Source organism: Homo sapiens, chromosome 22 (genome assembly GCF_000001405.40).
Source record: "Homo sapiens chromosome 22, GRCh38.p14 Primary Assembly".
NCBI lineage: Eukaryota > Metazoa > Chordata > Mammalia > Primates > Hominidae > Homo > Homo sapiens.
The window spans coordinates 32,919,315-32,942,291 of record NC_000022.11 but is presented as its reverse complement, the minus strand read 5'-3'; the positions used below and the strand labels follow the sequence as shown (position 1 = coordinate 32,942,291).

Below are 22,977 nucleotides of genomic sequence, written 5' to 3'. Positions count from 1 at the left end.
ATTGCTGAACAGCAAAGGTTGCTGCCTGATTGTTCCTCTGGAAGCTTTGTCTCAGAGGGGTACCTGGCCGTGTGAGGTGTCAGTCTGCCCCTACTTGGGGGTGCCTCCCAGTTAGGCTACTCGGGGGTCAGGGACCCACTTGAGGAGGCAGTCTGTCTGTTCTCAGATCTCAAACTCCATGCTGGGAGAACCACTACTCTCTTCAAAGCTGTCAGACAGGGACATTTAAGACTGCAGAGGTTTCTGCTGCCTTTTGTTCGGCTATGCCCTGCCCCCAGAGGTGGAGTCTACAGAGGTAGGCAGGCCTCCTTGAGCTGCGGTGGGCTTCCCAGTTTGAGCTTCCTGGCTGCTTTGTTTACCTACTCAAGCCTTAGCAATGGCGGATGCCCCTCCCCCAGCCTCACTGCTGCCTTGCAGTTAGATCTCAGACTGCCGAGCTGGCAATGAGCGAGGCTCCGTGGGCGTGGGATCCTCTGAGCCAGGCGCAGGATATAATCTCCTGGTGTACTGTTTGCTAAGACCCTCGGAAAAGCACAGTATTAGGGTGGGAGTTACCCAATTTTCCAGGTGGTGTCTGTCATGGCTTCCCTTGGCTAGGAAAGGGAATTCCCTTACCCCTTGCGCTTCCCGGGTGAGGCGATGCCTCGCCCTGCTTTGGCTCTCGCTCGGTGGGCTGCACCGACTGTCCTGCCCCCACTGTCCGACACACCCCAGTGAGATGAACCTGGTACCTCAGTTGGAAATGCAGAAATCACCCATCTTCTGCGTTGTTCATGCTGGGAGCTGTAGACTGGAGCTGTTCCTATTCAGCCATCTTGGAACCGGCCCGGGAAAGAAATTTTTAAAAATGCACTGGCTAGCAACAAATGCGCAAAAAATAATACAAATGAGAGAGTGGGCTCAAGCTTTCAACAAGGTGGAAAAGAAGTTAAAATGTTAAAGAATGTTTAGAAATATGCTGAAGTGTGAAAGTTCGTTATAAAGCAAAGAGAAACCTTTAGAGGTGTGTGAGCATGTCAATAGTGAGTTGCCATAAGTGCCGGTCCTCAGTATAGGTGATGATCTAAAAGAATAGATGTGCTTTCTCCTCCATTTATTACCCTCTCAACCAGCTGACCATACTAACAAGCTGTTAAGAATTGTGGATTTTTTTGTTTTTAATTAATAAAACTTTTTTTTTAACCTTTAAGATAAGTGAGGGTTTCGTTGAGGAGGTCTTTGAGAGGTCTGGCTGCAATGGTGGGTTGGTTGCAAAGCAAGGAATAGTAGAACACATTCTGTCTAGTCAATCATATTGCTAGGGAAACATCTAATCAGTTTATTCAGGACAGAGCCTTTGAGGTCATATGATTGACCAGTGTCCATGTGTATTTTGCAGTGAGCAAATAAGACAACTTTTTTTCTGATCAGTAGGTTAAGGAGACAGAGGATGGTCATCCTATCTTGCCTTTGCTCCTGTCATCACTGGGGCTTGTTTGGGTCACTTCTGTCTTAGAATATTATACTATCTGATGTCATGACTCACTGTAAAGCTACATTAATTGTGACAACTTGAAACAGGATAGACAAATTGATAAATAGAATAAAATAGAGAATTTAGAAATAGACTGCCACCTATGAAGTGACTTGGTGGTTGGCAAAGGTACCAATGCAATTCTATTGAGAAAGAGTGCTCATTTCAATAAATGGTACCAAAGTATATGAATAACCATATGAAAAAAATTGAACCTTCGGTCCTACCTCACATAGTATATATTTAAAAATTCTAGGTGGATTACAGACGTAAATGTGAAATACTCAACAGAGAAGCTTCTAGCAGGAAACACTGAGAGTGCCTACATGACCTTGGGATAGGCAAACATTTTTTAAGCTAAAGACAATAGATACACTAACTGTAAAAAAAATACTAAATTGTACTTCATATATACATATGTGTGTGCATAAATATATTCTTCGTTAAAAAACTAAGAAAGTTAAGAGACAAGCCACAGAATGGAAGAAGAAATTTCCAAATGAATATATCCAGCAAAGAACTCATATCTACAATATATTTTGAGATACCTTTATAAATTAATAAGATAAATGCAAACAAGAATACAAATGTGAACAAAAAACTTGAACAGGCACTTCACCAAATGAAATTACCTAAATTGTTAATTAGCACATGAAAAAGTGGTCAGTATCATTAATCATCAGAGAAATGTAAACTAAAACTACAATGTACTATTACTACACAACCCACCTGAAGAATGGCTAAAATTAAAAACTTTGACAATACTAAGTGTTGAAAAAGACACAGAGCAACTGTAATTCTCATATTGCTAACGGTATGTAAATTGGCAAAACCACTGAGGAAAATTCTCCATCTGTATCTTCTAAATCCTGTATGCCTATCCTCTGACCCAGCAATTCCACTTCTAGGTATATAACCCAGGAAAATGAATGTATATGTCCACCAAAAGAGATGTATAAGAAGGTGCATAGCAGCTCTTTTCTTAGTAGCTGATGAATAGAAATAGTTAAAGTGTCTACCATCAGCAGAATGGATAAACACATTATTGAATATTCAGACAATGAAATACTACACAGAAATTAAAAAAGAATGACTGCTGCTAACCACAGCAGCATGGATGAATCACAGATATGAAAGAAGGCAAATACCAAAGTGCATGTACTGTGAGATTTCATTTATAGCAAGTTCACGAACATGTAAAACTAATCTATGAGATAGAAGACATTAAAATGGTAGCATCATGGTGTGGGGGTGAGATCAGCTGGAATGAGGATGAGGGAGGATTCAGGGGTTCTAGAAATGATCTATATCTTGATCTGAGGATTGATTACACAGCATAAATAAATGAAAATTCATCAAGCTATAAACTTAAAATTTGTATACTTTATTTATTTTATCTATATTTCCTTTTCAAGGCACTGTTCTATGGTTTAAAATGTACATCCTTACCTCATCATCATTTACCTTCAAATAGTGTTATTCCACTTCACATATACTGTGAGAACCTTTCAGCAGTATATTTCCATTTCTCATTCCCTTTCTTTGTGTCCTTGTTGTTGTTCATTTTACTTCTACAGGTTATAAACTCCCATGATGCCTGCAATGTTTTGCTTTAAACAGTTAATAATCTTTTATAGGATATTTTTAAACTGAAAAATAAGGGTTTTGTATTTATCCACATATTTACCATATCTAGAACTCTTCATTTTGTATTGGTACAAATTTCCATCTGGTATCATTGTCCTTCTGTCTGAAGAGCTTCCTTTAACACATTTTGGACTTATAATAAATTCAATTTTTCTTTGTCTGGAAAAGTCTTTATTGTGCCTTCACTTTTTTTTTTTTTTTTTTGAGACAAAGCCTTGCCCTGCTGTCCAGGCCGAAGTGCAGTGGTGCAGTCTCTGCTCATTGCAACCTCCGCATCCCATGTTCAAGTGATTCTTGTGCCTCAGCATCCCAAGTGGCTGGGATTACAGGTGCGTGCCACCACACCTTGTTGATTTTTTGTCTTTTTAGTAGAGACGAGGTTTTGCCACGTTGGCCAGGCTCGTCTTGAACTCCTGACCTCAGGTTATCCACCCGTCTTGGCCTCCCAAAGTGCTGGGATTACAAACATGAGCCACTGTGCCTGGCCTATGCCTTCACTTTTAAAAGATAATTTTACTGGGTATAATATTCCATACCGACAGTTGTTTTTTGGTTGGTTTTCTTTTTCTTTTCCTTTTTCTTTTTCTTTTTTTTTTTTTTCTGAGACAGAGTCTCACTCTGTTGCCCAGGCTGGAGTGCAGTGGCGCGATTGCTGCTCACTGCAAGCTCTGCCTCCCGGGTTCATGCGATTCTCCTGTCTCAGCCTCCCGAGTAGCTGGAACTACAGACACCCGCCACCACGCCTGGCTAATTTTTTTGTATTTTTTAGTAGAGACAGGGTTTCACCGTGTTTGCCAGGATGGTCTTGATCTCCTGACCTTGTGATCCACCCGCCTCGGCCTCCCAAAGTGCTGGGATTACAGGCGTGAGCCACCGCGCCCAGCCTGGTTTTCTTTTTCTTTTAGCTCTTTAAGGAAGATTTACTACTATCTTCTGGTTTTCTATTTTCTCACAAGAAGCTGTTTATCATTCTTATCTTTGTTTCTCTTTATATAAAATGTATTTTCCCCCCTTTGGCTGCTTTGAAGATTTTCTCTTCACCACTGGTTTTTAATAAGTTGGTTATTCTATGTCCTGCTGTTTATTTTCTTTGTTTCTTCTGCTTATGATTCATTGAACTTGTTAGGTCCAGTTTTCATTAAATGTAGAAAAACTTTGGCCATTTTGTTTTAAATTTTCTGTCCCTACCTCTTCTCTTACTGAGACTTTAATTACTCATATATTAGACTATTTAATATTATCCCATAACTCACTGAGGTTCTGCTCTCTTTTTCTTTCTTTGCTTTTTTTTGTGTGTATTTTTGTCTCTGTGCTTCATTTTGGGTTGTTTTTATTGTTTTCTCTTCAAGTTCACTAGCATTTTTTTCAGCAGCATGATATGGTTTGGCTCTGTGCCCCACCTAAATCTCATGTTGAATTGTAATCCCCGCTGTTGGAGGTGGGGCCTGGCAAAAGGTGCCTGGATCATGGGGGTGGTTTCTAATGATTTAGCACCATCCGCCTTGCTGTCCTCATTATAGAGTTCTCACAAAATCTGGTTGATTAAAAGTGTGTAGCACTTCCCCCTTTGCTCTCTCTCTCTCCTGCTTCTCTGCCATATGAGGATAGTGCTTGCTTCCCCCTTGGCCTTCCACCATGATTGTAAGTTTCTTGACACCTCCCCAGAAGCAGAAGTCTGTTCAGCCCACACAACTGTGAGCTGATTAAATCTCTTTTCTTTATAGACTACCTAGGCTCAGGTAGTTGATAGCAGTGTAGAACAGACTGATACAAGTGTCTAATCTGTTGTTAAGCCTAGCGGTGCATTTTCTATTTCAGATATTATAATTTTTATCTCTACAAGTTTCATTTTTAATTTTTAAAATATGTTTCTTTCTCTCCCATTGTATTGTTTCCATCTACATTCTTGAGAACCTCTTTATAACAGTTGTTTTAACTTCCATTTCTGCTCTTCCCATCATCTCTCCATTTCCACGTCTGTTTCTATTCGTTGATTTCTCCTTGTTGTGGGTCATATTCTTCTGCTTCTTTGCATTCCTCGTAATTTGTGATTGAATGTCACTACTTTTACATTGTGAATGTGATGTGTTGGGTGCTGGGTTTTGTTAGATTCCTTTAAACAGTGGTTTAGTTTTTTCTGAGATGCAGTTAAGTTACTTGTAATAAACTTGATCCATTCAAGACTTGGTTTTAAGCTTTTCTTGGGACAGATCTACATGGAGTGATTGATTATTCTAGTTTGCCTGGGATTAAGGAGTTTTCCAAGACATGGGACTTTCACTGTAAAACTGGGATTGAAGAGTTTCTGAGAAATGGGACTTTTAGTTTTAAAGCTGAGAAAGCCCAAGGCAAACCGGGACAAACTGGTCGTCCTAGATCCAGAGCATGCTGTTGGCCAGGGATAATTCAGTCCCACTATGAAATTTTGAGTAACCTACCCATTTGACAAGGTCTTTACCCTCTAGCTGGTGAGCACATGGGTTCTTCCCAGCTCTGTGGATTCTGGAGATTGTTTCCTAATGGCTTTTTCCTGGCCTTGATTACTTTCCTTTCATGTATGCTCAAATTAGTTACTCAGCGAAAGACATAGATCTCCCTGGAGTTTGTGAGGTTTTTTGTTTGTTTGTTTGTTTGTTTGTTTTATTTTTTCTCTGCAGATTCATCTTTTCCTATACTCTGTCCTGCAAATTTTAGCTGCCATGGCTACCCTGAACTTCAATCTTTGTATCCTTAACTCAGTGAAACTGATGAACTCTGCCTTCTCCCATGCTGTTCTGCTGCCTGGAAACTGCCTCTAGGCAGTAAGCTAGGATAAACATAGGGATAATTTTGTTCCCTCTTACAGGAATCATAGTCCTGAAATGCCTGTTGTCTAGTTCCTGAAAACTGATATGTAATGCAGTTTGTCTGGCTTTATTGTTGTTTAAGATGGGAGTGTATATGTAATCTCTGGTACTTCATTGTTGCCATATGCAGAAGTCTTTACATTTCACACCTCCATATATTTTTTAAATGTATATGTTATAAATACTTGAAGGAGTTGTTCTTTTTCAGGGTACACCAGTTTGGATGCTTTCAGTTTAAGCTTACTAAGACAATGGAATATTTGAAAATAATAATGGCAACTATTTACTGAGTCTCAGCCCTGTGCTGGATGTTTCATATACATTGTCTTGAATCATCACAAAAACATTTAAAGATAGATATTATTGATATCATTACCTCTGTTTTAAAGATATCAAAATTGATATTCAAATCAGTAACTTCACTAAACTCATCAGCTAGTATATTGAACAGCTTACATGTGAATGTAGTCTCTCTGAGTACTCATTTGTCCATACCACAGTGCCTAATGTGTAGTATTAAAATGTTATCCCACCAGCTGGGCACAGTGGCTCACGCCTGTAATCCCAGCACTTTGGGAAGCTGAGGCGGGTGGATCGCCCTGAGGTCAGGAGTTTGAGACCAGCCTGGCCAACATGGTGAAACCCTGTCTCTACTAAAAATACAAAAATTAGCCGGGCGCGGTGGCGGGTGCCTGTGATCTCAGCTGCTTAGGAGGCTGAGGCAGGAGAATTGCTTGAACCTGGGAGGTGGAGGTGGCAGTGAGCTGAGATCACGCCGTTGCACTCCAGCCTGCGCAACAAGAGTGAAACTCCATCTCAAAAAAAAAAAAAAAAAAATACCATACCAAAAGCCTTAGAGGTCAAAATAATTTGTGGTGAAAAGGTTAGCTCATGCAGAATATTTAAGTAATTCTGATAGTAGCGTTTTTTGCGATATAGGTGAATAACTAATTTGTTATTTTGTGTGTGTGTGTGTGAGAGAGAGAGAGAGAGAGAGAGAAAGAGAGAGAGAGAATGAGTCTAGGTGCAGATTTCTATGCGCATGTTTTTGGTGAAGTGAATAAAGGAGCTTTACCTGGCCACATTGACCTTCTTCGAGCCCTGGTGACTTTGAATATGATACTGAAATTGCATTCAATTCCCAAAGTTATTATTTTAATTTGCTAGGTTCCACAATTACCATACACTTAGTGGCTTAAAACAACAGAAATTTATTTTCTTCCAGTTCTGGAGGCCAAAATTCCCAAATCAAGGTTTCAGCAGAGCTGCACACCCTCTGAAGGCTCCAGGGGAGACCTTCCTTGGCTCCTCCAGCTTCTAGTGACTCTCAGCATTTCTTGGCTTGTGGCAGCATCACTCCATCTCTGCTGCCATCTTCCCATGATCTTCTTTCCTGTGTCTTTCTGTCTTTTCCTCGTCTCTTCTCTTCTAAGGACTTGTTAGTGGATTTAGTGTGCCTCCCCCGCAACTCCCACCAGTCTAAGATGATTTCATCTGATATCCTTAACTGGATTACATCTGAAAAGACCCTAGTTCCCAAAGAGGTCACATTCACAGGTATCAGAGGTTAGGACTTGGACATAGCTTTTTGAGGAATACAATTCAATTCACTACAATTTTCATGAGAGTCTTCCAAATGGCTGCTCTTTCATATTCTACCAGAAAGGCTATCAAGCTATCTTGAAGGGAAGGTGGTTTGGACACCTCTGTGTTCATTTCCATGGTGCTGAAGGTTTTAGACAGTTAAATAACAGAAGAATGCCCTTTTACTTTGCTAGGCCACCTTTCTGCTTGATCCCACGGAAGCTGGCTACCTTGCAACCCAGGCAGTTATCTCCTGTAATTATTCATAAACCACAACTGAGAAATAACTCTAGACACCCACATCTGAACAAGATGAACCTCTAACTTGTACATCCAAGCCTGAGTGTGACTTCTCTCCAGGTATCTCTCTTTCCATTTGGGCAGCGAGACAGCCCTTGGGTCCTTGCCACTTTTGAGTCAGAGATTCTATCTTCCAAGATTCTGTTTCACTCCCTCTCTGCATATATTTGGTGACCAGGTATCCTGTTTTGCAACTTTCTTCTAATGTCTTTTTATCTGCGCACATAAGCAACAACTTTTCTTCTTAATTCTTCTTTGTGACCTTGCCAACTAAGAATCTTGAACATGATGGGACTGAATGTTTAAGGCATTAAACTTAATAACTAGGCCATTACCACTATTTACTAACCTGGACTCATTCACAGTGATCTTTTCGCCTTGCCACAGCATAATGAGGTTATTAATTACAGCAAGAGGCGTAAGTACTCCCGGTTTGCTCTAATGCTATCTGGGGAGATGGCTGGGTCTTTGGTCATAATTCCTGTTAAATGACTCCAAGGAGATACAGTTAAGTTGCCATGAAATGATATTTCCCTTCAATGTAAACTTTTTTCTTTAAATGGGTTGTTTTTAGGTCCCTAAAATTCCCAGTTATAAGCCACCTAATGCCTCATTCAGCTGAACAGTGGGGGCCATGGAGTGTGGCAGTTAAAAGCACAGGGCCAGCTGAGCGTGGTGGCTCACACCTCTAATCCCAGCACTTTGGGAGTCCGAGGCGGGCGGATCACGAGGTCAGGAGTTCAAGACCAGCCTGGCCAACATGGTGAAACCCCCTTTCTACTAAAAAACAAACAAACAAACAAAAATTAGCTGGGTGTGGTGGCAGATACCTGTAATCCCAGCTACTCGGGAGGCTGAGGCAGGAGAATTGCTTGAAACTGGAAGGCAGAGGTTGCAGTGAGCCGAGATTGAGCCACTGCACTCCAGCCTGGGTGAAAGAGTGAAACTCTGTCTGAAAACAACAACAACAACAAAAACACAGGCCCTGGTGCCACACCGCCTGGGTTTGAATACCAGCTCTGCTACCTACTATATGATGCTGTGCATGTTATTTGATCTTTTTCTGCCTCCATTTCCTCATCTGGACAAGCATGAGGATTAAATGAATTCATATGTGTAAAATGCTTAGGCCGGTACCTGGCACATAGTGAGTGCTTCATACATGTGAGTGGTTATGTTTATCCATTAAACCCAAAGAAATTGCTTTTGGCATCTACTGTGTATAAGGCACAGTTTGGTGCTATGCATTTTAGCCGATAGCATTATAGGTTGACTTGTCACCCCCAAAATTCATATGTTGAAGTCCTAACCCACAGTAGAATGTGACTTTATTTGGAGATAGGGTCTTTAAAGAGGTAATCAAGTTAAAGTGAGGCTATTAAAGTGAGGGTAGTGTATATGACTGGTGTCCTTATAAGAACAGGAGCTTTGGATATAGAAGGAGGACAATGTAAGAAGACACAGGGAGCAGATGGCCATCTACAAGCCAAAGAGAGAGGTCTGGAACACATCCTTCCCTTATAGCCCTCAGCAGGAACCAGCCCTACCAGCACCTTGATTTTGGACTTCTAGCCTCCAAAACTGTGGAGAATGAATTTATGCTGTTTAAGCCACCTATTACAGCAGCCTTGGGAGACTAAGACAGGTGGTTATAGTGAGAAATCCCAGGGAGCATGTCATCTGGTAAGAGGGATGTATTCCATGGGACTCTGGTTGTAAGCAACAGAAATCCATGAAAGCTCATTTAAACAAATAGGCAACCCAAAAGATGAACTCACAAAATCCAAAGGTAGGTCTGTAGCTGGCACATAAACATCCCCATCTCTTGCCCCTGCCCCTCTCTTGGTGACTGTGACATTCCTCCCTCTCTCTGTCTCTCTCCACCCTGGTTTTCTGTGCTTTGCCAGTGCAGATGACAGAAAACATGGTTTGTGCATTAAAGATACAACCACCTAGAAAGAAACTGCATGACTCACTCATCAGTTTCAAACTCTCAGGGAAGAGTATCTCATTCTTCCACCCCGAGTCAGATGCTTACCCCATCAACTGTGACCAAAAGGGCAGTATGTCAATGAACAAACATGGTGCTGCTGCTGTAACCAGATGGATGGAGCAAGAGGAGGGGCCATTACCAAGAGAAGAAAACTGGGCATATGACCAGGGTGGGGGGTGGGTCCGTTAATAGAGAGAAATAATCACCGAGTCATGATGCCATACCACTGTAGAGCATGAAGGTGAGAAAATCTAGAGAAAATGTCCCATCAAACAGCATCTGCAGAGTCATGATGCCATACTACTGTAGAGCATGAAGGTGAGAAAATCTAGAGAAAATGTCCCATCAAACAGCATCTGCAGAGTCATGATGCCATACTACTGTAGAGCATGAAGGTGAGAAAATCTAGAGAAAATGTCCCATCAAACAGCATCTGCAGAGTCATGATGCCATACTACTGTAGAGCATGAAGGTGAGAAAATCTAGAGAAAATGTCCCATCAAACAGCATCTGCAGAGTCATGATGCCATACTACTGTAGAGCATGAAGGTGAGAAAATCTAGAGAAAATGTCCCATCAAACAGCATCTGGCATGTTCTGGTCTTGGAGCTGGAATTGCCTCTTCCACCTTCAAAGAGGCAGAAATTAGCAAGGATTAAAAGCATAGGTCCTTGAATCAGAGACACATGGGCTTCAATCCAGTTTGGCCTTGTATTAATTGTGCTGCCTTGGACATGCCACCAGGCCTCTTAGAGCCTCAGCTTCCTCATCTTTCAAAAAGAAAGATGAAAATAATATCGGCAACTTCCTAAGTTTGAGGGGAGCTTTAAAGGTGTACTTTGTACCTCTAAGTACCCAATATGTGTTAACCGTTGTTACCACCGTTGGTATTTGATGAATCCTTTTTTGCTTTGCTTTATTCTTCAGGCTGAATTCTCAGAGTTGAACCTAGCTGCCTATGTGACCGGGGGCTGCATGGTGGACATGCAGGTCGTGAGAAATGGGACCAAAGTGGTGAGGTAAGTAGGATTAAAATATGCAGAACCTTCTGAGAATTGCATACGTGGAACCTCATGTAGCCCACCCCTCCGTCCACTTCCTGCGACCTAACTCCTTTGCCACATGTACTTTCCTGTACAGAATGTCTGCTTCCCAGGTGTGGTTGCAGTAGTAATGACCAGCGGCACATATCATACGTGCAGCACCTGTGGTGTCCCCAAGTGAGCCCTGGGCTTGGAGAGAAAAGACTTGGGTTCCATTTCTGGCTTTGAGGCTCTGCTCTGGCATATTATTTAGTCCCTTTTGTCCTCTACTTCTCATCTGCAGCATGATGATATGCACTGAAGTTAGAGGCTGCTAAAGTTTACAGAAACTCACATGTATGACAGCACCCTGTTAACTCTGAAGTGCGGTACGAATGGAAGGTTTATTAGAATAAATGAAATTCAACTTCCTGCAATATGGCAGACTAAGTGTTCATAGAATCTTCTCCAAGTAGACCAAAACTAAAAGCACTAGATATATAATATGTTCAGAAATCTGTTTGTAATTTATGCTGAATTGGAGAGCAAGTGAGGGGTTTCTTCAGAAGCCAAAAATGACAAGAATGTATAAATCCATAGGCGAGATAAACACATGTATGAATACATTGCTATCTAGTTAAGTACCCAGAGAACGATACACACTAGGTCTCATGAGGGTTTAGAGAAGGAAGAGACAGGATTCAGATTTGGGGAAGGAGGGAAAACAGGAAAAGCTTTGAGGAAAAGGTAACATTTGTTCTGAGCCTGGTCCAATGGTAGAATGTGGACATTCTCAGGCTGGGTGTAGGGAAAGAGAAGTATATCCTAAGAGTAGGAAACAGCCTCTGCAAATAAAGACAGATCCAAAAAAAAAGGTGCATGTTTGGTATATTAGTCCTTTTTCATGCTGCTGATAAAGACATATACTCGAGACCGGGTAATTCATAAAGAAAAAGAGGCTTACTGGACTCACAGTTCCACGTGGCTGAGGAGGCCTCACAATCACGGTGGAAGGTGAAAGGCATATCTTACCTGATGGCAGACAAGAGAGAACGAGAGCCTGTGCAGGGAAACTCCCCTTTATAAAACCGTTAGATCTCTTGAGACTTACTCACTAACACGAGAACAGCATGAGAAAGACCCGCCCCCATGATTCAATTACCTCCCACCAGGTCCCTCCCATGACACATGGGAATTGTGGGAGCTACAATTCAAGATAAGATTTGGGTGGGGACACAGCCAAACCATATCATTTGGTAAATTATGATAATTCAACTAATTCAGCCATTCTTTATTGAGTGCCTACTGTATGCCATGAAAGACATTTGGCTTCCTATTTCCAGTAACGGTGGGCTAGGTCATTTGGACCAGCTTTTCCCCTGAAAACAACGTAAAAACTGATACTAAATAATTACAGTCTTTAAAGGCCTTCTAAGAGTTGGTGTGACAGTAAGGAATTACCAGGAAGAGACTGATGGGAAAATGAAAACCCAGACAGGTAAATGAGTACAAAGCCACCTGTATCCTGAGAGTATTCACTAGATCAGCCAAATTTGCAACTGGTTTTGAGAGCTTAGTGGAGGCAAGGGAGACAGAAATCAACACTCAGGGCCACTCACAATAGGGAGTGTAACAGTAGACCCTCTCCACAATAAGCTGAGATTCCCCAAAGGACTACAGCTTCTAGGTGAACATGAATTACAAGTAGGTGAGCCCTCACAAGTACTTGCAGCTTGAATTGCAGTTTGAATACCCCAGCCCTCCAGGAAACCTCAGGCATTGAACTTGGTTTATGGTGATCCCAGACATGCCAGAAATAAAAGCAAATCCTATGTAAAGGAAGGCACTTTCAAGCTAGGCTTCAAATGATCCTTCAAATAATTTTTTTGTATAATAGCTAGTACGTAGTCAAAGATAACCAGGTGAAACAGGAACAATAGACAATGGAGACAGAACCTCAAAGACAGAAGACATTAGAATTATCACACAGGTTATTTTTAAAAACTATACATATCAAATTGAAAAAAATCAGGTATGGAGATATCTGCGGAGAAAAGGACACTAAAAAAAGTTATATAACCAGGTTTTTGTGTTTGTTTGTTTTGAGATGGAGTTTCGCTCTTGTTGCCCAGGCTGGAGTGCAATGGCATGATCTTGGCTCACTGCAACCTCCGCCTCCCAGGTTCAAGCAATTCTTCTGCCTCAGCCTCCCGGGTAGCTGGGATTACAGACATGCACCACCACACCAGGCTAATTTTGTATTTTTAGTAGAAACAGGGTTTTGCCATGTCGGTCAGGCTGGTCTCAAACTCCTGACCTGAGGAGATCCCCCGGCCTTGGCCTCCCAAAGTGTTGGAATTACAGGTGTGAGCCACCGCGACCAGCCGATACAACCATTTTTTTTTTAAACACAACTTCTGGAAATGAAAACTACAGTAATCAAAATTATTGTGTTTAACATCACATTAGACATGGCTGAAAAAGCGTTTATGAAATGAAAGGTACAGCTGAAGAGATTATCCTGAAGGAAGCACAGAGAGAAAAAGATCGGAGGTGCAGGAAAGACTGTTAGATTCTAGGAGAGGGCCTAATATTCATTTAATCAGAATCTCAAAAGAGAGAGGTAAAAGAGAATAGAGCAGAGACAGTATTTGAAGAAATGATTGTTTTGGAAAGATACCAAACCACCGAAAGCAGAAGCTTGGCAAATTTCAAGCGGATAAATAAAAATAATTCCACACCAAGACTCAATAGTGATATTTAGAAAGAAAAAGCCAGAGGAAAAAAGGCAGATTACAGATGGTCCCCAATTTACAATGGTTTGACTTATGATTTTTTGACTTTGTGATGATGCAAAGTGACACTCATTCAGCAGAGCATTAATAAATTGCATGAGATCTTCAACACTTTATTATAAAATAGACTTTTTGTTCAAAGATTTTGCCCAACTGTAGGCTAATGTAAGTGCTCTGATAATGTCTAAGGTAGGCTAGGCTAAGCGATGATGTTTGGTAGGTTAGGGGTAATAAATGCATTTTCTTTTTTTCTTTTTTTTTTGAGACGGAGTCTCGCTCTGTCGCCCAGGCTGGAGTGCAGTGGTGCGATCTCGGTTCACTGCAAGCTCTGCCTTCCAGGTTCACACCCTTCACCTGCCCCAGCCTCCCAAGTAGCTGGGACTACAGGCGCCCACCACCATGCCCAGCTAATTTTTTGTATTTTTAGTACAGACGGGGTTTCACCGTGTTAGCCAGGATGTTCTCCATCTCCTGACCTCATGATCCTCCCACTTTGGCCTCCCAAAGTACTGAGGTTACAGGTGTGAGCCACTGCGCCCGGCCAATAAATGCATTTTCAACTTAGGATATTTTCAGTTTACAATGGGTTTATTGGGATGCAGCCCCTTTGTAAGTTAAGGAACATCTGTACTTTTGTTAAAGTAACAGACTGGCAGCTTCCTGAGAACAGTGGTGGAAAAATGTCTTCAGTGTGCTGAGAGAAATTAATTGCCAACCTATAATTCTATCCTCAGAGAAACATCTTTTATGAATGATGGCAAAATAAAAACATTTACAGACCTTCACAAAGGGAAACTGTAAAGTATGTATGTACTTTAGGCAAAAATAAAATGACCTCAGATTAACGTAGAGCTGCAAGATTATATGAAGGGCAAAGAAAGTGGTGTTAATAGGTATTGTCTTCAAAAGACAATAAAATAATTTTATGGATTTAAAAATATATGAAGGATTAAAATATACAACATTAAGTTAGTAGAGATTGAGGGTAAATGGAATTAAGATATTCTGAGGCCCTTGTATTGTCAGGGAAGAAAGTAAACATGGCCAGGTGTGGTGGCTCACGCCTGTAAATCCCAGCACTTTGGGAGGCCAGGTGGGTGGATTGCCTGCACTCAGGAGTTTGAGACCAGCCTGGGCAACATGGTGAAACTCCATCTCTATGAAAAATACAAAAAAATAGCAGAAATCCTCCCAGCTACTCAGGGAGGCTGAATTGGTAGAATTGATTGAGCCCGGGGAGGTCAAACCTGCAGTGAGCTGTGATCACGCCACTGCACTTTAGCCTGGGTGACAGAGAAACATCTTGTCTCAAAAAAAAAAAAAAAAAAGTAAATATATTAATAGCAGGCTTTAAAAACCAACACAGAACAGGTGTTGTAAATAACACAAAGTAAATGGTTGATTTACACCCAATATAACAGCAGGTCTGATCTGATATCATTCTGAATTGCTTATACAGCAGTGCTGGTTATTAAAATATTGAAACTTTTCTATACCGGTAGGTAAATAGCCATTGCCTTGAGCCTACTGAGTGACTTCAGCCACCTTAACCCCATGAGACTGTTCCTGTGTCCCCCAGTCCACCACACTCCTGTCCCCAAGCCCATATTCTTGTTCTCCCCTGGCCACAGGATGCCCAGACATTGTAGGGAAGAACCTCAGAAGTAGTAGTGGAACCCCAGAGAGTGAATGCTTGGTTTCTCCTGTCTCTTCAAGGCTATAAATGCCTGTGCATCTTCTGGATTCGCCCTCTCATGGTCATTTGTGAGAACTGCAAACCCCACAAAGTACTCTGGGAGTTGTTAAATATTTGTGTCACCAGTGTATGTATACCAATAATTACATTAAATGTAAATGGACTAAATGCACTAATTAAAGAGAAGAGTTATCAGTGTAACTTTTAAAAAATCTAAATGTTTTCCATTCAAGACATTCATCTAAAATATAAGCATATAGAAAATTTGAAAGTTAAAGAAAGGGGAAAAATATACCATGCAACTGTGCAGCAAAAGAAAGCTCACTGATGCAGCTGCATTAATGTCTGGGGGAAAAAATAGACTCGAAGGTGAAAAGCATTACTAGGGAAAAGGAAGTAATTTATTATGATAAAGATTCATTTACTTAGAAGAAATAATTTTAAATGTATAAGCACTATATAAAAATACCTCAAGATATACTTCAAAAATGGACAAAACTATAAGGAGACATAAAGAAGTTCCTGATTATTGGAGATTAGGAGAATAATGCTAAATATATACTTTCATGTACTTCTTCATAGCACCCTCATTTTGCACACAAGTACTATAAAAAGCCTAAAATGCTATTGTTTAGGAATCTGTGCTCATATTTGGTATTTTTTGTACTCGTGTCTGCTTCCCTATTTGGTAGGGTGGCTGGATCTCCTTCATTTGTAACAGGTAAAAACAAGAACATCTATCCCGGCTGGGCACAATGGCTTACGCCTGTAATCCCAGCACTTTGGGAGGCCAAGGTGGGCAGATTGCTTGAGATCAGGAGTTTGAGACAAGCCTGGGCAATATGGCAAAACCCTGTCTCTAATAAAAATGCAAAAATTATCCAGGTGTGGTGGTGTGCGCCTGTAGTCTCAGCTATTTGAGTGGCTGAGGCATGAGAATCACTTGAACCTGGGAGCGGATGCTGCAGTGAGCCACTGCAGTGAGCCTGGATGACAGATTGAGACCCTGCCACAAAAAAAAAAAAAAAAGAACAACTATCCCATTGGTCCTCAGATTTAGCTACAGATTAGAATCACCTAGGAATTATTTTAAAATCCTGATACCCAAGCAGTGTCCCAGACGTATTGCACTGGAATCTCTGAGGGTGGGATTTAGGTATTCATATTTTTAAAGCTCCCCTCGTGATTCTAGTGGCAGCCAAAGTAGGAAACATCCCCAGATTGTTCTCAACATGGCCCTGCACTGAGGCAGGACGGGCTGAAAAGCTGAGGACACTCCTAGGTATGCTGCCTGAACACAAGAATCACTTTGCAAAAATAGACATCTTCAAGTCTTATTCTAGACCTGCCATATTCTTCCTGAATTTACAACATTGTTTACAAAAATAAAGTTACAGAAATGTTCCAGGTATTTGCTAATTGGCAGTTCTTCCAGCATTCAGGAATGGCAGACTTTGAAGGCAGTTGTTATGAGATGAATTATGCTCCCCTGGAAAAAGATGAAGTCTCAACTCGTAGTACCTCAGAACGTGACCTTACTTAGAAATAGCATTGTTGCAGATGTGATGATTAAGGTGCAGTTATACTGGAGTAGTGTGAGCCCTTAATCCAATATGACTGGTGTCCTTATAAGAAGAGGGAAATTTAGACACGGGAAAACACCCTGTGATGTTGGAAGCAGAGACTGGGGAGATACATTGACAAACCAAGAATTGCTGACAATCATCAGAAGCTAGGAGACAGGCATCTCCTGCCAAACCCTCAGAAAGAAAACCAACTCTGCCAATAGCTTTTTTTTTTCCTTGAGACAGGGTCTCTCTCTGTCACCCAGGCTGGGGTACAGTGATGCGATCACTGCTCACTGCAGCCTCAACCTCCTGGGCTCAAGCGGTCCACCCACCTCAGCCTCCTGAATAGCTGGGACTACAGGCACATGCCACCATGCCTGCCTAAGTTTTAAATTTTTGGTGGAGATGGGGTCTTGCTCTGTTGCCCAAGCTGGTATCGAACTCCTGAGCTCAAGCGATCCTCCCACCTTGGCCTCCTAACGTGCTGGGATTACAGGCATAAGCCACCAAGCCCAGCCTGCCAACACCTTGATTTTGGACTTCTAGCCTCTAGAACCATGAGAGAATAAATTTCTCTTGTTTAAAGTCATTAAGTTTGTGGTCCCTTGCTACAGCAGCCCTAGAAAATGAATATAGCAGTGCCTCTTGAAATTTAATGTGTTTACACACCTCTGGGAGATCTCATGTTAAAATGCAGATCTTCATCCATTATGTCTTCAGGTATGGCCTGAGATTTTGAGTTTTCTTTGAGCTCCCAGATGAAGCCAGTGCATCTGGTCTTGCAGGTTCAGTTTGAGCAGCAAGGATGTGAACAAGCTCCTGGATGCTGCTGATGCTGCTGTTGGAAGATCACATTTTGAGTAGCCAGGGCTGTGAAGACAGTGCCAGTATAGCTAAAGGCCTGGGTTCAGGGACCCATATGGCTGTTGAGATTTATTCTGTCTCATGCCCAGGATGGTGCTTACAATCTCAGCCAGGTAGCTCACTTTAGCAAGATTTGTTACAGGATGTCAGACCCATGAGAATGTGCACACACACTAAGTAGCCTGTGACTCAGTGTGTCCTTCAGTGGGGGGAATCAGTAGAATCTTCCAAAGTACCATTTGATCCAGCAATCCCATTACCGAGTATATACCCAAAGAAATATAAATCATTCTACCATAAAGACACATGCATGCAAATGTTCATTGCAGCACTAGTCACAATAGCAAAGACGTGAAATCAACCTAAATTCCCATCAGTGGTAGACTGGATAAAGAAAATGTGGTACATATACATGGAATACTATCCAGCCATAAAAAAGAAGGAGATCATGTCTTTTGTGGGAGCATGGATGGAGCTGGAGGCCATTACCTTAGCAAACTAACACAGGAACAGAAAACCAAATACCACATGTTCTCATTTATAAGTGGGAGCTAAATGATGAGAACTCATGGACACAAAGAGAACAACAGATACTGAGGCCTACTTGAGGGTGAAGGGTGGGAGGAGGGAGAGGATCAGAAAAAATAACTATTGAGTACTAGGCTTTGTATCTGGGTGACAAAATAATCTGTACAGCAAACCCCTATGACACAAGTTTACTGGTATAACAAACCTGCACATGTAACCCTGAACCTAAAATAAAAGTTTAATAAACAAATAAATAAAAACAGTGGAATCTTCCACAGGCATATAGGGCCATAACAAGTCCTAGCTATGGTCTCCCAAAATAGGAATGTTAAACAGTGCTCTTGACTTGCTGTGTATTCTTTCAAAGACATGTAGACGTTGTATTGAAATTGCCTGTAAGCACTTCCAGTATGCATTGTGACCAAGGTCTAGATCTCCCGAAGTCTTGCTCACAAGGAGCAACTTCAGGAATGGTGATGTGATGGTTAATTTACCCAGAGGGCTGGTAAAACTTTATTTCTTGTTGCGTCTGTGAGGGTATTTCTGGAAGAGCGTTGGAATCAGTAGGCTCATCAAGGAAGATCTTCCCTCACCGTGTGGTCAGACAGCATCCAATCCGCTGGGGGTCCCACTAGAACAAAAAGACAGAGGAAGAGCTAAATCTCTCTCTCTTGACCTGGGACACCTGTCTTCTCCTGCCCTTGGACATCAACGCTCCTGGTTCTTAGGCCTTCAGACTTCAAGACTGATGCCAGCAGCCACCCAATTCTCAAGACTCCAGCCATAGACTGGGAAATTATACGGTTGACACTCCTGGTTCTCAAGCCTTCAAACTCAGACCAAATCACACTATGAGCTTTCCTGGTTCTCCAGCTCACAGCCAGCATCTTGTGGAACTTGTCAGCCTCTGTAATCATGTGAGCCAATCCCCATAATAAATCTCCTCTTTGATATATCCTGTTAGTTCTGTTTCTCTGGAGAACCCTGACTAATATAGGTGACCAGGATGGATGGCAGAGAAGATCATTGCTGGCTTTCTCCAGCTTCCATTCCTTCTGCTTTGGCAAACAGCACCTAGGATTCCATTGAGGTGACCCCCTCCCCAACTTGCAGTCTGTGTGGTGTGTGCAGCTGATGGCACATGACTAGCCCCAGTCAATTGGAATATCTCACTGGGACCCAAGCCAGGCCAGTGCCAGAACTCTTGGATGAAAGGCACATGTTTTCTGCTGGGACCACAGAGCGGATGGGATGTATGTCTGGAGCTGCTGGTGGCCATCTCTCTCCTTGAGTGAACAATCTGCCAAGAATGAAGCCAAGGTAAAGGAACACACAGCCAAGCAGAGAGACGATGCCCTGATGATGTTATTCAAGGCTCTGGATCCGGACTTAGTTGAGCCAAAAAAAATCCCTTTTTGTTTAAGCCAGCTTGAATTGCACATACAAAATTCATGAACTTTTATTTATTTAGCAAACACTTTTATAGCATTTCCTACGTGCTAGGCACTGCTCCAAGCACTTAACATGAATTAACTCATTTCATCCTTTCGACAACCCTATAGGGTGTGTGCTATTAAAATCACCATTTTATAGATAAAAAGGCTGAAACACCAATGGATGGGGTAATGACATCCAGTTCTCCAGCCAATAAGTGGCAAAGCTAGGATTCAAGCCCAAGGCAGTCTGGCTCCAAGGCCTGTGTGTGGCAAGGGGCAGAGCTGCTTAAAGAAGCCATATGTCTCCTACTATGAATGCCATGCAAGAGTACAATCGAACAACGACATGGAAGAAAAATATGGAGAGGATCCATGCATCTGACTTTTAGGTGGGGAACAAGGAAAAGTCAGTCACCACTATTGATGGCACCTTGTGCACCAGGGCTGTGCTAAGTGCCCATCATAGATGGTCTTCTTACCTAGTTGTTACGAACTCATGAAATGGCCTAATAATAATGTAGACAGCCAGTATAGCCTGAAGGTTAAGAACACAGTTCTGGAGCAGGCTGCAGGCTGCCTTGGTGGACATCCCAGATTTGCCACGGTGACAGCAGCTGTGTGACCGTGGGCAGTAACTTATCTGTAATACTCCCCCTCCTCCTCCTAATAATAATAATAACAATACCTCCTCATAGGGTTGCAGTGAGGATTACATGAGTTAGTATAATGTGAAATGCTAAACACAATGCCTGGATCAGGATAATCACTAAATTAAGTGTGTAATAATAATTATTATAGCCCCATTTAGAGAGGAAGAAACTGAGTCACAACTGGGACAGTTAAATCATTGTCATTGATTTCATTGCCCCAGATCACACTTTTAGAAAGTAGCACCACTTGGATTTGAACCCAGGTCTCTGATTCTATACCGAGTGAATTTCCAAGTGTCTTCGAATCTTTGTCCACTCCACCAGCCTCTGGTCCTGTTGAGCCCACACCAGGCTGGCGTGAGTGGACACTCAGTCTCTGTACAGAAAGCAGCAGTATGTAGAGATTTCTCCAGGGTGCAGAGTGAAGCTACAGCTCATTCAGGGTACAGTATGGGAGTGTTGCCCTCCCTTAAAAATCTGTTGCTCAGGTATGAGAATTTACCTCTCTGAGCTTCAGTGTTTTTTAATCTGTAAAAGGTAATAATATTATTTTGCATAGTTTTTGTAAGGATGACATGAGATGTCATCTATGAAAAGTTTGTGCATTCATTCCACAAACATTTATTAAGGACCTACTATGTTCCAGGGACCACTTCAGACATTGGGTATTGTATCAGACAGGGACCAGGCAAAAGACAGAATTCACCCCTAAATGGTCTAAATAAAGAGACTTTAAGGAAGGGGCAACTTATGGAGGAGTGTGAGGGGCTAAGGGAACGTGAGGTATTTAGAATCTGACAACAGAAGGAAACCATTATCCCTAGGGGTGAAGGGACAAAAGGAGAGAATAGAATTTCTAGACTAAATCTAGTAGGTTTAATCTAGACTTGAGCAGGAGAGCTGGTCCATTGAAGCTATAACTGGGGAGGAACTCAGCTACCTTCAAAGTCATGGCACTAAAGCACAGTGGGCACTAGAGAGAAGTACCACCCCCTTCTCTCCCTCTGCCTTCCAGTCTCCTGCTGGGGCCTCACTTTGGCCAAAGGCAAGCAGAAACCTTTCAGCAAGGGAGCTGAGTTGATGCTGCCAACAGGGACCCATCTCCTGTAGCTCAGAGCAGGGCAGAGAAGAGTGGAAAAAGCATAGAATGGGGTCAGGAGGGCACAAAAAGAGAATAACTCTTAGGGGACCAGTGGACAAAATAGACCAGGTCCCTGCTTACAAGGTCAGATTCTAGGAGTGCTTTGTAAATGGCCAAGCATTGTACACAAGTTGGTTAAATCACCAGTATTTGCAGCAGCTGTCTTGATAGCCCTCCTTCCTCTGGTTTTTGTCCAAACCCAAACCCAGGGTGGCCAGCCAGCCAGCTCGAGGTGCTTAAGCGCAACCCAGACATCCAGGTTCTCTATTTAGAAAGCAGAGCAGGGGCCATCCCGGGGCATGTTAAAATTCATGCTTTGTGAGTGCCTTCGCTGTTCTGGACCCAAATTCTAGCCTGGCCCCACAAGGGAGAGATAAAAAGGGACAGCCATGTTTATACAGACAGAAGGGATTGCAAATACAGGGCAGGAGAAACCAAGAATGAAAAACACCCGAGGAGGCAGACGTTAATGAGACCCCAATCTAATTACGCAAGTTCTGCTCTCAGTTTCCAGCATTAGGCAACACTAAATTATAGGCACCCGTTCAAACCGCAGCGGCTGATAATGTGCATCCGCTCATTAGAAGGTCAGACCTCAGAGAGGGCTGAAGAGCAGGAGCCAGGAAGCATCAGTAATGCAAGACCTTGACGAAAGGCATCAGAGTCTCTCAGATCCTCCCCCTCCCCAGCTCCCACCCAGGCTTACTGTTTGTAGGGAGGATGTTTGGGGCAAGAGGGAGATGCATGGGCTTGTCCCAGAGGAGGGGATGGTCTATAAAATCTTAGAGTTCCAGAGTCAGAAGAGCCCCTTAGACTTTTCTATGTGTCCCCATTTTACAGATGGGCAAACTGTGACTTAGGGAAGAGAGAAGGGTGGCTTTTCCAAATCCTCCCAGCGTATCAGCCCCTGAGCCACAATGAGCCCTTGACTCCTGAATCTCTATCCTGGGACTTCTCTAACATCCCATCAAGAAACTTAATTTTTATAATAACATTTCTTTACTCCTTATTTCATACATAATTGCCCAGATTCTTCTGGGCTTCCTGAACTTTTAATTTCAAATTCCAGATATCCATTCATTCAACAGAATTTATTAGAGGCAAATTTCGAGTGCCAGGCTCCAGCAAACATTACATAGAACACAGTTCCTGCACTCACTCCCAGGTACCTGTGTGTGTGTTTGGAAAAGTGTTCCCTTCACCTCTTCTAAATGTCTCTGTATGCATTAAGCTGCTTCCTCCTTTCCTTCCTTTCATTCATTATGTGCCAGACACAGAGGGTACAGTGGTGAATGAAATAGACAGTAGCTCCTGTGGAGCTGATACTAGAGTTGCAGAAAACAATCAATAAGTAAGCAGATATGTGGGCTAAGGGCAGGTCATGAGAAACAGGT

The 22,977-nt window shown here is 42.3% G+C and overlaps 1 protein-coding gene across 18 annotated transcripts in view; it reads left to right on the top strand.

Annotated features, from left to right (window-relative positions):
* The window catches only part of SYN3 (synapsin III), a 550,562-nt gene that overhangs the window by 116,090 nt on the left and 411,495 nt on the right, over positions 1-22,977 (top strand). For all 18 annotated transcript variants that reach the window (NM_001369909.1, NM_001369907.1, NM_001135774.2 and 15 more), the window contains one exon: positions 10,811-10,902. In NM_001369909.1, coding sequence (NP_001356838.1) covers positions 10,811-10,902 — 92 coding nt within the window. The remainder of the gene's footprint in view (positions 1-10,810; positions 10,903-22,977) is intronic.